Below are 13,863 nucleotides of genomic sequence, written 5' to 3'. Positions count from 1 at the left end.
TTTGAGCTTCCATATTAGATGAAGACAGAGACAGAGAGAGAGGACTCTCAAGCAACTTCAGTTTCTCAGGGAAAGCCCATGAATTGATGTAATCTAAAGAAAGCAATAATGCTGTTTACTGCCCAGCAAGGAAGCTGTTTACCACAAGGAAGTGAAGACGACTAGAGTGGGAAACAGGAAACTGAAAAGAGGAAATGGTTTACAAGTCCCCAGAAAATACACACAGATGGAAATTGATGAACAGTGACAATGGAGAAGGATGCCCCAGGCAACTCTGCTTCCAAAAGTTAAAGCTTCCATCCAGTCAGTACTTAGTTCTCTCTGTTGTTTCTACATTCTTAGTGTGATCTTGCTAATATTTAAAAGGTAAATCTAAACACTTCAGAATCTTCACAATTCTACTGATGATCAGCAACTGAATGACTCATGTGAATTTCAATTCTGCTAAAAGATGCAATCAACAGAAACTCTGAGAAACATGCAAGGAAGAAAACTCTAAGGACTTGTTAGAGATTTTACAAGCCCAAACTAGGCTCCTTTTAATTTTTTCTTTTTCCTTTTGCATGATCATGAGCCGGTCCAGAGCAAGGAGCAGAACCCAAAGTTCACACATATATTTATTTAGTTAGCAAGACATTCCTATTTTTATAGCTCAAAGTTCTTAACTTTCTTGTTAGCAAATGTTAACAAGGTTTAAAATGCATAAAGTGAGCTGTGGCATGTAAAAAATTTTGGCCTATTCTGGCTCCTTCTTTTTTTATACTTATGTTCAATGAAAATGTCCTACTGACAGGCAGAATGTCTGGGCAACTTTATAGATAGTGTTCCCACCTCAGGGCCACAAGGTCACAGATTCGTTCCTGATTCTATTTAAAAAACACTCAACAATGGTAAGTTTGTGTGTGCTTTTATGAGCGGGAGCTGTTTTATAGAACCCAAAATCTTAAAGATACTCCAAGGAATCTTGCATGTATGCTGGGCTGTGAATTGGAAAAGCTGCAATATGGGGCTTGCTGCAGAATTGGAGAGTTTCATGGAATCATGAGCAAAGACTGACTATAATAATTCTCAGACATCGTGTCTACACAAGGCCAAAAAGCAGTTTGTTTTCATGGTGGCAATCAAAGCGCTTGAAAGGCATTTCAACCTGCTGTTCCAGCGTCAGTTTACCAGTGAGTGGTCATAAAATGAAACAAGGCAGAGGGAGTAAAAAAGAAAAGAAAGGAGAAAAAAGCAGACCCCACTCAAATCTCACAGACATTTTATAACTATTTTAGACACTGCAGGCCTTTCCTTCTGGGTAGTGCATAAATACGGCTTCTGAGAAGTCGCCGGTAGAATCCCCGAAGGCCCCCTAAGTATAGAAGTGAAATAACCGTCAACACCGTAATGAGCAAACATAGGGGCACTTCTAGCAGAAGGGGATTAGGAAATAGCTCAGTTGGTGGCTACCATAACTTTCTGAAACATGTTGACAAAAAAAACAGAACAATTCAGATCTGATTATCTACCTGGGTTCAACTGCTGTGGGACCAGAGACAGTGGATTATCCTTTCTGAGTCTCTGTGTTGTTCCCTCTGAAATGAGAGAAAAGGGCAAAGTTTTCTTAGAAGTGAAAACATTTACCTTTCACAACTTCAAATGGAATAGGTAACTTGAAATGTGGCAATTATCCATCGTTTTGTGTAAATGATGTACACATAAGTGTCTCTCCCACCCAAGGCTGACACTCAGCCTGTGGTGTAGATGGCTCCCATAGAATGGTACACATGGTGGTCCTGCTCCCACCGCTGAGAAAGAATATTGGGTTCCAACACAGTGGTGGCCTCTTCTACCTATGGCTTGTGAAATCTAAGGATATACACTGTCTCACAACTTGCTTTTCACATATATTATAATCTGGATCAAATTTCAGATGTGTGTGTGTGTGTGTGTCCACAAAACTGAGAAGCTGTTAACCTTCAGGGAGCTTACTCTTCAACTTGCCCCCCATCTGTCTGATCCTACTCCTCTATGAAAAGCAACCGTCTCCAAACTATTTCTAGTTCTATTTCCCTCCTCACAGCACACATGTAAGTTATTGACTTTCCTTCCTCTAAAATTCTGTTTTTCAAACATGCCTCTATACAGTCACTGCAAGTAATTATTACACCTTTTTGTCGAATAACCACAAAGCCACATTTTTGTGGTAAGTGCACAGTAACAGCAAAATGACCTCTTAACTTCATCTCTGAGCCCGTTTCCAAATCTCCGGCAGCATTCCAACACTACAGTGGTGTATATTAAAAGATAGGAATTAACTAGATTTGGAAAGTCTCATTCAGAGAGATCATGGGAAAGATAAATGACTGACGCCTGTCAGGAAATGGCAGGATTCACTTTTAGAATATTTCATACAGAATACTCTAGACTAACTTGCAGGGCTTTGGCATAATTAAGGGAAGTTACTAAACGTTTCTATTCCTTTCAGTTTTTTAGAGTTTTACAGTTTGCAAAGCACTTTTTTTCTCCTAATTATCTCATTTGAGCCTCTGAGATGGGCAAGTTATTATGATCCCCATTTTAGAGATGAAGAAACTGAGGCTCCCAGAAGACCAGTGACTTTCTCAAGGTTTCTTAGCTATAACATAGAAGAGCTTGTATGAAAACACATTGTTCTAATTATACTGCCACAATAATTTCACCTTATCAAAGGTATTCAAACAACTCCATCAAATTGTTAGGCAGACATTCTTAACTGAGGAGGAGAAGTGAAGGAAATGCGTATTAGAGTTATCCAAGGGCTTGTTTGAACACAAGTGCTTGTCTTCATCTTCCTTGCCCTGGAAATAAACATATGCCTCAGAATGGAGGTAGGGAAAGAAGTTTGAGAACATTCCCCAGGTAATTCTAATATGTACCTTCTTGTTGAAAAGCACTGCATCAGGTTTTTGTCTTCTTGCTTTGTCCAGTCCTCTTTGGAGTGGTATACTCACTATACTTATTATATAATAAACAATGAATTTTGTCCAAGTCTGCCTTAAAAGTAAAGGAACTAATGATATAAAGGAGAAAATTGAAAGACAATGTCAAACTATTGGGTGACTTATGTGAAAAGACCATGAATAATCATTTACAAGATTGTGCAGTATCCACTTCAGAAGCAACTTAATGAAGAGCTGATGTTTGAATGTATTAATCATTAGTTCACTTTTTACTGTTCTAGATGATGGCAATGTGGATTCTCATGGTCATTTGAAACCCATGGGGGAAAATGGCTCTTCCTGTATTCAGGCCCTTTGTAGTGTGACTTTGTGGCAACTCCCATCAATAGGTAGATTATTGTTTACCCCTCAAATCTGGGTTGGCCACTATGACTTTCTTTGTCTGACAGCATGTAGGAGAAGTATTGTTGTGGCATTTCCGAACCTAGACCTCAAAAAGGCCTTGCCCTTGTCTTTCTTCTCTTAGACCCTGTCCATCAGCCAGGTGAGCAAGCCTGGGCTAGTTAGCTGAAGGATAAGAGACCATGTGGAGGAAGCCAGAGGAGCCATCCATCTGGGGCCACCCAAGGTCAGCCAGCACCTCTAATCACAGAGCCACGAGGGAGTTAGCCCAGATTTAGAAGGTGAGGATATTGACTTCATCTCTTGATGCAAGGAGTTGCAGTTACATTGCAAAGGGATGCAGATACAGGGAAGGTTGGAGAATTGCAGCCACTTTTGCACAATCTACCACAACTACTGCATTGTAGCTGCTATGCACATTAAATAAGTAAAGACATATGAAACATTTATATCAGGTCCTGACAACAAATAAGTGTTCAACAAGTGTGAGCTATTATTACTGTTTCTAAAATGGATCCCTTATCATGGAGAAGGTCAAATTAATGCTGCCGTGCCTCTTACTCTTAGAAACTGACACTGAAAGTTCCCACATAACTGAGGTTCAATCTATGAGCACATCCAGAAACTCAAGTGAGGGAAAATGCAATCAAACCACATATGAAAAATCAATAGATCCCTAAATAATCTTTCCCTCCTGAATGGAAGCAACACATTTGAAAACTCTTCTCCCTCCACCCCTACCAAAAAAAAAAAAAAAAAAAAAAAAAGCAGTGCATGTTGCCTCTTCTATTCAGGCTGTGACCAAAGGTTTCAATGGTAAAGATGACTCATACCTTAAAGAACTAGAAGAATTTTTTTTATGGCTTCTCTATCCATTGTCTTGCTCTCATAAAACTGCTGAATGACACCCAAGTGTAAAACCCACCAAAGAAATAAGCGCTGGATGACATGTGGCAGATTTTCCAACTCTCCAGGAAAAACTTCAGATCAACTTGTTTCTCTGGAAACTACTCACATCCGGGGGCTGTCCCTGTCCCCTGGGACTCATAAACGTTCCTATCTTCAAGGCACAGGTAAGGGCTTCGCATTCTTTGAGAACAGCAGCCTGTTTATTTCCTCTATGACTATAAAGCAACTTTATTGTACTTCAGTATCTAAAGGAAACAGAGCTCTGGGGTAGAAGGTGCCTTCAGGGAGTCACTGGTCCTATTTAGATGTCCTCAGAGAAGTGAGTTTGAAAGATGTTCTGGAACTCTTTGAAATGCTAGTTAATTTAAAGTTAAAAGGAAGCCTCTTCTCTTGTTCATTGTTCGTGGGGGCAAGAAGCATTTGTATAGTTAAAAAGTGCTTAGAAGATTTAGCTGTACATCAATTATTACCAAGCAATGTTTCCCTATGACTCAGCGACATATTACTCCAGGGCAAGAAGCTGTTCAGACGTTGAGAGAAACTCCTTGCTAATCAGTGGGATTCAGTACTTGACAGCTCCAAGGAGTAGTTGAAATCCCTCCCCTCCCCTGTTATACACACTAAGCTATATACAAATTTGGGCAGAGGAGTCTCAATCCAAAGAGAAAAACACTCATGTGATTAGAGAAGCGTGTTTTTCAACTTTGTTTTAAACATAAAACTAAAGTTTCATTTGATCTACTGGTTAAATTCTAGGTCTGTATTTTCTAAAGTCTGGTGTGGGGAGGAAAGCCCCAATAACAAATAATTCTCTGTGCAAATAGGTTAGGGAAATATTGCATACTATGTTTCACACTTGTGCATTCACAGCCCACTGTGGAATATTAAAGATTTGGAGAAGTCAGACAATACAGAAAGATGATTAGCTGTAACCCAATATTTCCAGAAGATACGTAACCAAGGGATCCTCCTTTGTTTTCTCTTTGAATTATATAAAATAAAACATATTGAGAGATCAAGGAGTCTTTGAGAGATCAGTAGACTTTGAGTAAAGCAGATCATTGTAATACACTTAGAAGGATGCTGTTTTAAGTATGTAACACAATTCCACATCTTTGAAAATAGTATGCACAAATGTTAGGTGACTTTTATAGCTTCAGACTTCTAATTATAAATTGTTTTATGTTTTGGGCCTTCTCTCCGAATCTAAAGAAATCTAAACAATGTATTGGAAACTAATCAAGTAAAAAATGCCTGAAACAAATGATCTGTAAGATTAAGGTACATATGCATAGGGAACAGCATTGCTATAACTGAAGATTGGTAAACTGTGTCACTGGGGCCAACAATGGTTCTAGAAATATCTATGAAAGTAGGGGATTCCTCTTCAGAGTCTTCATCTTGCTCTTTATTTCCCTTGTCCCATTTGACCTCTTGCTGAACCCTTTGCTATCCCAACTATTTCCTTGCCATTCTGCAACATGTGTCTATGAAGCCAGACTGGATGTGTACAAGGTCAGGGCTAAAACACCCTGGCCCATTGGTTCCTCACATGCATACTTCCTAGTAGTACCTTACCTTGCATGCTTAATTACTTAGGGGCTTAATTACTTAAAATTTAAAAATTTTTTTTTTAGAAAAATGCAATATTATAGATATAGTTGAAAACGCTTTGACCTCATCCCAAATTCCATTTTCATTCTCACCTCCTTGATGAGTCTGCTATATTTTCTTTTAAACTTTAAAAAATATTTTGACAAATAAATATGTATTATATATAACACATTTATGTATGTGTGTATGAGATGAAAGCATAACAATATTTTGTGCCTATATTTAAAAATGTTATCTACATATACCATATTATTTTCATTGCACTGCATCTTGCTTTTTTCATTCAACTTCAGGTTTTCTATATGTATCAGTGAGTTCACTTATCTGGTACACAGTGATCTAGGGAATGACACATCACAATTCATTTCCTGTTGCCCCATTGGTGAACCTTCAGAATGTTATCTTATTTCATCATTGCAAATAATGCTTCAACAAGCATCCTTGGGCCTGTCTTCTTGTTCACATGTGGAAGATCTTCTCTGGTGACATCGATTTAAACGTAGAATTTACTAGGATATAGGGGATGGGAATTTTTAAATGCAATTCCAAACCTTCCAAGGGACCAATGTTTCAGAGCCCATTGCTTTAGGCCACATTAATCTATCCCACACGTAGATAATGAAGGAGTGAGAGATGCAGAGTGGTTCTTGGCAAGGAGGATGATTTCTGGCTATCACTCCAATAGGCCCCTGGAGTGGATACTGTTGGTGTCTTGTAGATATTCTTTGCTGGCTTGCAGACCCATCTGCCTTGCTGCTGTAAGTGGGCTGCTAATGGCTCACAGCCGCTCCCTCCTCAGAGAACTGCTTTCAGCAAGAGCCATCAGCCTGAGGGCTATTCTCCCTTAACCCCCATCCAGGAAGCTCAACTAACACTGAAGTATGAAAGGACAGTCTTCTTGCCTCAAATTAACACCAACTCTTGTTCAGGTCATGCTCCAGAGCTTACCACTGCATCAGGCTAAGGCTAGATTCCATCTCAGTCTACACCCCTACCTCTTCCTGTTTCTCTCTTCTCTTCTTCTACGAGTCCTCCCTCAATATATCATGCACACCTGAGTTCTTGTTTTAAGCCCTGCTTCTAAGGAACCTGAACCAAGACACCCCTTTGTTCATTTTTTTCTGTATTTATCTTTTTCTTTACTTTGTGTTCTGTTGCTTTTGATTGCTGTTTCTTTCTTTTCTTTTTTATTTTTTTGCTCATTAGTTTATACTAATATGAGTTTATACCTGTTCTATCTCACCTGCCAAGAAAACAGAAAGTAAACCAATAAATTCAATTTTCACTTACTTTCAGGAAATGCACTGAACTCATTCGTAGGCAAAGACTTACAGTCACATTACCCCGCCGTCTGATAGCCTGGTGGGCTGATAAAGGCCTGAGCCCTTAGTTCAATTATAACAGTAATGTTGAGCTCCCTTCCCCAACTCCTTACAGCTTTCTCTCAGCCCTCTGAGTCACAAGTTTGTTCTGCATTCTCAGAATATGTGAACATGGCAGACAGTATTGCTGTCAGTGACCATTTCTTAATAAACGAACACAATGCTCACCAAAAATGAGGAAATGCTCCTGCGCCTTGTGCTCCAGAAGCATTTTTTTTTCATGGCATTTAACGAACCTTACTTGGGCTTGCCCCCCTTGGCAAAGCCTCCCTACCTCTGGTGCAGACACAGCCTAATGTTGCATCCTCTAGCCAGTGAGTTTGCTGTCATGGGACGTTTATAAACACGTGGCTGACTTGTTCGTATTTTACAATAATAATAATAGACATGGAGGCCCCGGAGCTCTAAATCAAGCATTCATCTGTGCTTTGAAGTCGCAGCCAGGAAGTAAGTCTCGAGGCCCTTTAAAAACAGCCCTGTTTCAAAGGGAGTGGCAGAGGACTTGAAAGATGAGCCTCTTTCTCTCATCCAGGCTCTGCCAGGGGTGTGTTGAGCACACTCACAACCCAAATTTCCCCCAAAACAACAAAAGCTTGTGTCTTCCAAGGACATGGGCTGTTGGTGAGACAAGCCAAGACCTCCTGGGAAACCGCAGATTTGGTTACGTCCTGGAAAGCTTTTTGTAAGTAGGAAATGTGACTCCCGGGCTTCAAGCTGTTAAAGAAGGAATTATCTGGCCTGCCTGGCAACTCAGCTCTAATTCTCCCATGGCTGTATTCCCACAGTTCCCTCCTGGGCAACCACCCCAAATTGACAGGTGTGGATGCCTTTTCCCAGGTTGAAAAGGATTAACGCAACCCATTGTTTTTGTTCATATCTTCACTCAAAGTTTTCCATCATGCAAGGCTGGAGCGAGAGAAGATTAGTTGCAATCTTACTTACAAATGTTTGCCTCTATTAGTGAGAGGATTTATCTCATGTCCCCAGTGTCCTTTCCACTACAATAAACTTCTGGGGCCCTATGCAGGGCAAAGAAGATGGTTTATCTTACACACTAGCATCCAATTGGACTGCGCTTACAAGGGCAGACTGAACATCTGATCTCCTGGAATCTGGACTCTTAACTGCTGATCCAATTTAAATATATATTTATATATATGTATATATAGATGTATAAATATACATATGCTACATATATACACATATGCTACATATATATAAACACCAACATGCAATGTGAATGGTAAAAATCTTAAATATTTGTCCTTTGAGAGGCCGAGGCGAGTGTATCACGAGGTCAGGAGATCGAGACCATCCTGGCTAACATGGTGAAACCCCATCTGTACTAAAAATACAAAAAATTAGCCGAGCATGGTGGCAAGCACCTGTAGTCCCATCTACTTGGGAGGCTGAGGCAGGAGAATGGCGTGAACCCGGGAGGCGGAGCTTGAAGTGAGCCGAGATCACGCCACTGCACTACAGACTGGGCGGCAGATTGAGACTCCGTTTCAAAAAAAAAAAAAAAAACTTAAATAATTGTCTATGTATCTCAAAAGGTTGATATGAAGATTAATGTTGAAAGCATATGTGTATATATGTATATATACACATATGCTACATACATATACATGTGGCATATGTGCTACATATATGTAGCATATCTGTGTATATATGGAGCAAATGTGTATATATGTAGCATATGTATATAATATAGCACATGTGTGCATATATGTATACATAAACTATTCTAATTATTTTAGTTCTCTGAAGTTAATATTTGCTTTTATGGTCCTTCAGTATTTGCTGGAATTCTACATAAATGGACTCCTAGTACTTAGCCTTTTGAATCAAACTTGCTTTATCCAAAAACCCATAGCATGATATATTTGGAATTTGTCTTTTTTTCTCTCTTAGACCTTAAAATAAAAAGATATTAACAGTTCTAAGAGAAGATCTGCTGTCAAATTCTAATTTTACTGAAGGGAGACATTCATGGGTAAAATAACCACAACTTTTTCATTAACCCTACTGAATCCTCACTCTTCACATGTGGGTTGATATGGTTTCACTCTGTGTCCCCACCCAAGTCTCATCTTGAATTGTAATCCCCAGATGTCAAGGGAAGGACCTGGTGGGAGGTGATTGGATCATGGGGGTGATTACCCCCATGCTGTTCTCATAATAGCAAATGGTTCTCATGAGGCCTGGTTGTTTTATAAGTGTTTGGCAGTTCCTCCTTCACATGTTCTCTCTCCTGCCACCATGTAAGATGTGCCTGCTTTCCCTTCTGCCATGATTCTAAGTTTCCTGAGGCCTCCCCAGACATGTGGAACTGTGAGTCAATTAGACATCTTTTCTGTGTAAATTACCAACTCTCTGGCAGTTCTTTATAGCAGTATGAGGAGAGACTAATACATGGGTGATTCTCCAGACTCCTGGTGTCTTGTTCTTTCCCCACCTACCACCAAAGCTCTCAGCCAAGCAGCAGCAATCAGTCACTCCTAACTTCTAGTGGATTGAAGACATTGCATTATCTTACCTGGCAGGGGTGGGGAGGGCAATAGTTTTTTAAATCTAGTGCACACTGTGGAATGAAAGCCATTACTGAGATTTTTATTAGGCAATGAGAAAAAGTAGAAGTTACATGTGAGAATGGGGTGTTGCAAAGAGCCTTCCTGAGCCCCCAAACTGAAATGGGCTTGTCTGGATATAAATCAGACTGGTGTACAATTTGAAATAAATTAAGAGTCTCTGAAAAAAAGTAAGAACTAGAGGCATCAACACACCCTAGTTCTGTTGTTACTCATTTAGGTCTCACATAAACATTTATGGTGATATTGTGTCATTACTTTGCATTATGGAAAATGATCAGTTTCAAATATCTTAGCAGAAGTAATAATAATATAATCATATAATCAATAGCTTCTGATTTTCCACTTGCAATATTAATCTTCACATCAACCTTTTGAGATACATAAATAAATATTTAAGATTCTTACCTTTCACATTGCATGTTGATGTGTAGAAACACAGTGTGGCCTACCATAAGGAACAGGGCTGAGACAGAAACCTCTGTTCTCCAGATTCGGAATTCAGTACTCTCTCTATCAGGCTGACTTGATTTAAGCTAATTATTTAGAATCAAAATGTATTTGAGGGAGGAATATAAAATCTTCCTAACTCAAGAAATTTGTAATATCCAATACGTAGCATTGATAATAAGAAAAATGGAATTATGATCTACCTATGACCTTACAACTTCTTTTCCCACTAAATTCACTCAAGGCCACCCTGGCTGGCATGGCCATGTGGGCCTCTCTTTAGCCATACACACCTTCCTACCATCACTCCTCAAATTGACAAAGAAGGCAAAATGGGTAAGAAAAATGTACTGATCTCTTATAGCTCATCATCATAATTCTGGAGAGTGATTGGAGGATTTAAATACATTTGTTCTAATTTTAGAAATGGTAGGTTCATCAAATACAATTTTATTTGTATAAGTTCCTGATTCTCTCTTAAGACTCTATCACAACATGCAGACATATCCTCATCTGGGAAAGCTGCATTAACAAGTCAGTGCCTATGGAGGTGGGCCTTGATTTTTTCCTGTAATGTCTTGTTTGGATTCTTGGGAACCATTACTGCCATTATGATTAGATTACCACTCAAGTAGCAATAATATTATTCTGCTCTCATAGAGTTTAATCCTGCTATATTTTTAATGTGCTCTCTACTTTTGGTCAGACCAATAGATTGCAGACAATGGAAAACATGATATTTTTATTTAAATAACATGAAATACAGAATATAAAAAAAAATTGAGTTAACATCAGTCCAGGTTAGGTAAAATTAGATGAATAAGCAAAATAGTCATCCTTCACTCCATCATTAAATTTACATCTTCAGTGCAGGTAGGTCGTTTCTCCCACTTGTCTGAGTCCGAGCCCTCAGTGTTCGTATTTTCACACATGAACTTCTTCTTAAACACTTTTACCACTTGGTACCTGTCTACCCAACCTGAACAGATGACCATCAATGCTTATTGGTGAGTGTAATGGCTTATTAGATACGGCAATATATACTTTTATGTCTAGTAGACTATTTAGATAGTTAAAAGCACACTTCTCCTCCTGATAAAATTTCAATTTTTTTTCTAATTCTTCCAAAGCTCTAATTCAGTGACCATGCTCTGAGCATATAGATTTGTCTCTTTTGAGTCCTTGTGGTGTTGCCTTCCTGAAAAATAATTTTATTATATTTAAATATAACTTTTACAAGGAAAGTGGTATTTCTCTGTTTTGGAAATGCTGACAAATGATGAAATAAGTTGCATTTTTATGCACGTGGATGCCACTTTAGAAGCCAGGAACAAACTAAAGGAATAAGGCGAATATCTTAGACCGTCCTCCTTTTACAAGACAAATGTAAAAGCCTAAATTTATTTCACGCCAAGAAAGTTTAAAACACAGGTATGCATTCAAATGGGTATCCACATGAACCTGAAATGAAAACGTGTGGCATTTCCCCTGAGTGGGCACTGACTTTGGAAGAGCACTGGGCAGCTGGCATAGCAAGGAATGTCCCCAGGCAAAGGGCTAGAAAATGCAATTGTTTGACTAAAGATGCAGTAGGAGACATGTTTGCCAAAAGGAAAGTTCAGAAGCTCTGCTTGAACATGAGTGTGAGGAAGTGAAAATACTTTAGATAGAATTTCTGTTATTGTCGTTAACAATGGGCTGGCTGATTCCCTGCTGGCAGATGGTGCCAGGGTTTCCTCTTGGAGAATTACATTGGGACAGCTGTGATCCATTCATAAAGCTCTGTCGTTGCTGAAAAAATGACAGCAAATATGAGAGCATGAACTATGAGTTTCCCTTAGATTAGAAGACTGAGTACACTTGGGGTGTCAAAATTACTTTGTTGGAATTTAGTTATGTATTGCTGCATAACAAATTACCCTCAGATTAGCAGCTAAGAAAAAAGTTTATTATCTCACAGGATCAGGAATCCAGGTGCAGCTTAGCAGGGTGCCTCTGGCTTGGAGTCTGTAAGATGCTGCAGTCAAGGTCCTTTCTGGGGATGCAGTCATCGGAAGGCTCGAGTGGGGGACGATCTGCTTCCAAGATCACTCACATGGCTGTTGGCAGGCTGGGAGGCCTTGTTAGCTGTTGCTGGAGTTATCAGCTCCTTGACACACTGGCCTCTCAATAGGCCACTCACAAAATGACAGTTTGCTTCTCCCAGAACAGGTATTCCAAGACCCTCCCTCTGACATACACACAGACACACACACACACACACAGACACACACACACACACACACACACACAGATAGAGAGAGAGAGAGACAGAGATACAGAAAGACAAAGAGAGACAGAGACAGAGACTCAGAGATAGGGAGAACGCAGGCCTTGATGTGGCAGAAGCCACGTTCTTTTTGTAACCTAATATCTGAAGTACAATTCATCACTTGTACTGTATTCCCTTCATTAGAAGTGAGTAAAGAAGTCCAGCCTACGCTCAAGGAGAGGGGATTACACATGGGCATGGATGCTAGGAGGTACAAGGGATCATTGATGGCTATCATAGAGGTTGCCTATCACAGTTGGTGACCATATTTTCCATTTTAAATGGATGCCAAGTTTATTTGCCTTCATTCAATCCTAGTAAGGTTATTTATATGAGACGAAATGCTTATTTTGAAAAGGAAGTCTGGTTTATTATACAGACCATAGTTATCACTAGATGTACCATCTTGGTTAGTGATCGTTAGCTGGCTTGTTTGGAGGCAATGGGAGGCTATGTTATTAGGCAGGGAGATGTGTGAGCTGGGCTCTTAGGACTTTGGACAGAAATCTACCACTTTCTTTATCTGTAGAATAGGCTTGACCATGAGAAATTTCCCTGGTAATCTTTGGCTAAATAATGGAAACACGTGCTTTAAAAGTGTCAGAATAGGGTAGAGTCACCTCTAGAAATAGCTAGTATCACTTATTTCATACATATGCTACATGTCTTTTGCATTATAGTGAGAAATTTACTATGTGTGGGTATTATAAATTGACCCTCAATACAAACAAATCTCTAGTTTCATGAGTCATTTTATAATGACCCATTGGTTAACAGGGGCATATTATAGGAAAATGACAAGCATTTCCATCAAGTCAATAAGAATTTGGATAAAAGAACATCATAGAATGTTACAGTTGATGAGGATCTTTGTGATTAATTGCCTCAACTCTCTCATTTTATGAATGAGGAGACATGCCAAAGCTGAGAATTAGCTAGAACAACTAGTTTACTGTTTAACCTATTACACGTTGCTGCTTTCACCCACGTTATAGAAATTAGGAACACAGAAGAAGAAAACAATGGCTTTACTTTCTGTGTCATCATACAAAAAAAAAATGGCAAAGGTTGGGAAATCTTTTGCAAATAATACTTTTAACTGCTAGCTTTTATATCTGTCTTTATTTCCAGGAACTATGTATTGTATTTCTATCTATATTTCCAGGCACTGGCCTAAAACATGAAAGGTATTCAGTAAATGGATACTTACTATGACAGGATCTAACCACTGGTGAGTTGCACAATCTGTTACTGTGTCCTAGTCTGTAAACTCATTACAG

The sequence above is a fragment of the Homo sapiens genome, chromosome 20 (assembly GCF_000001405.40).
Source record: "Homo sapiens chromosome 20, GRCh38.p14 Primary Assembly".
Lineage (NCBI taxonomy): Eukaryota > Metazoa > Chordata > Mammalia > Primates > Hominidae > Homo > Homo sapiens.
This window is presented reverse-complemented; position numbering follows the sequence as displayed.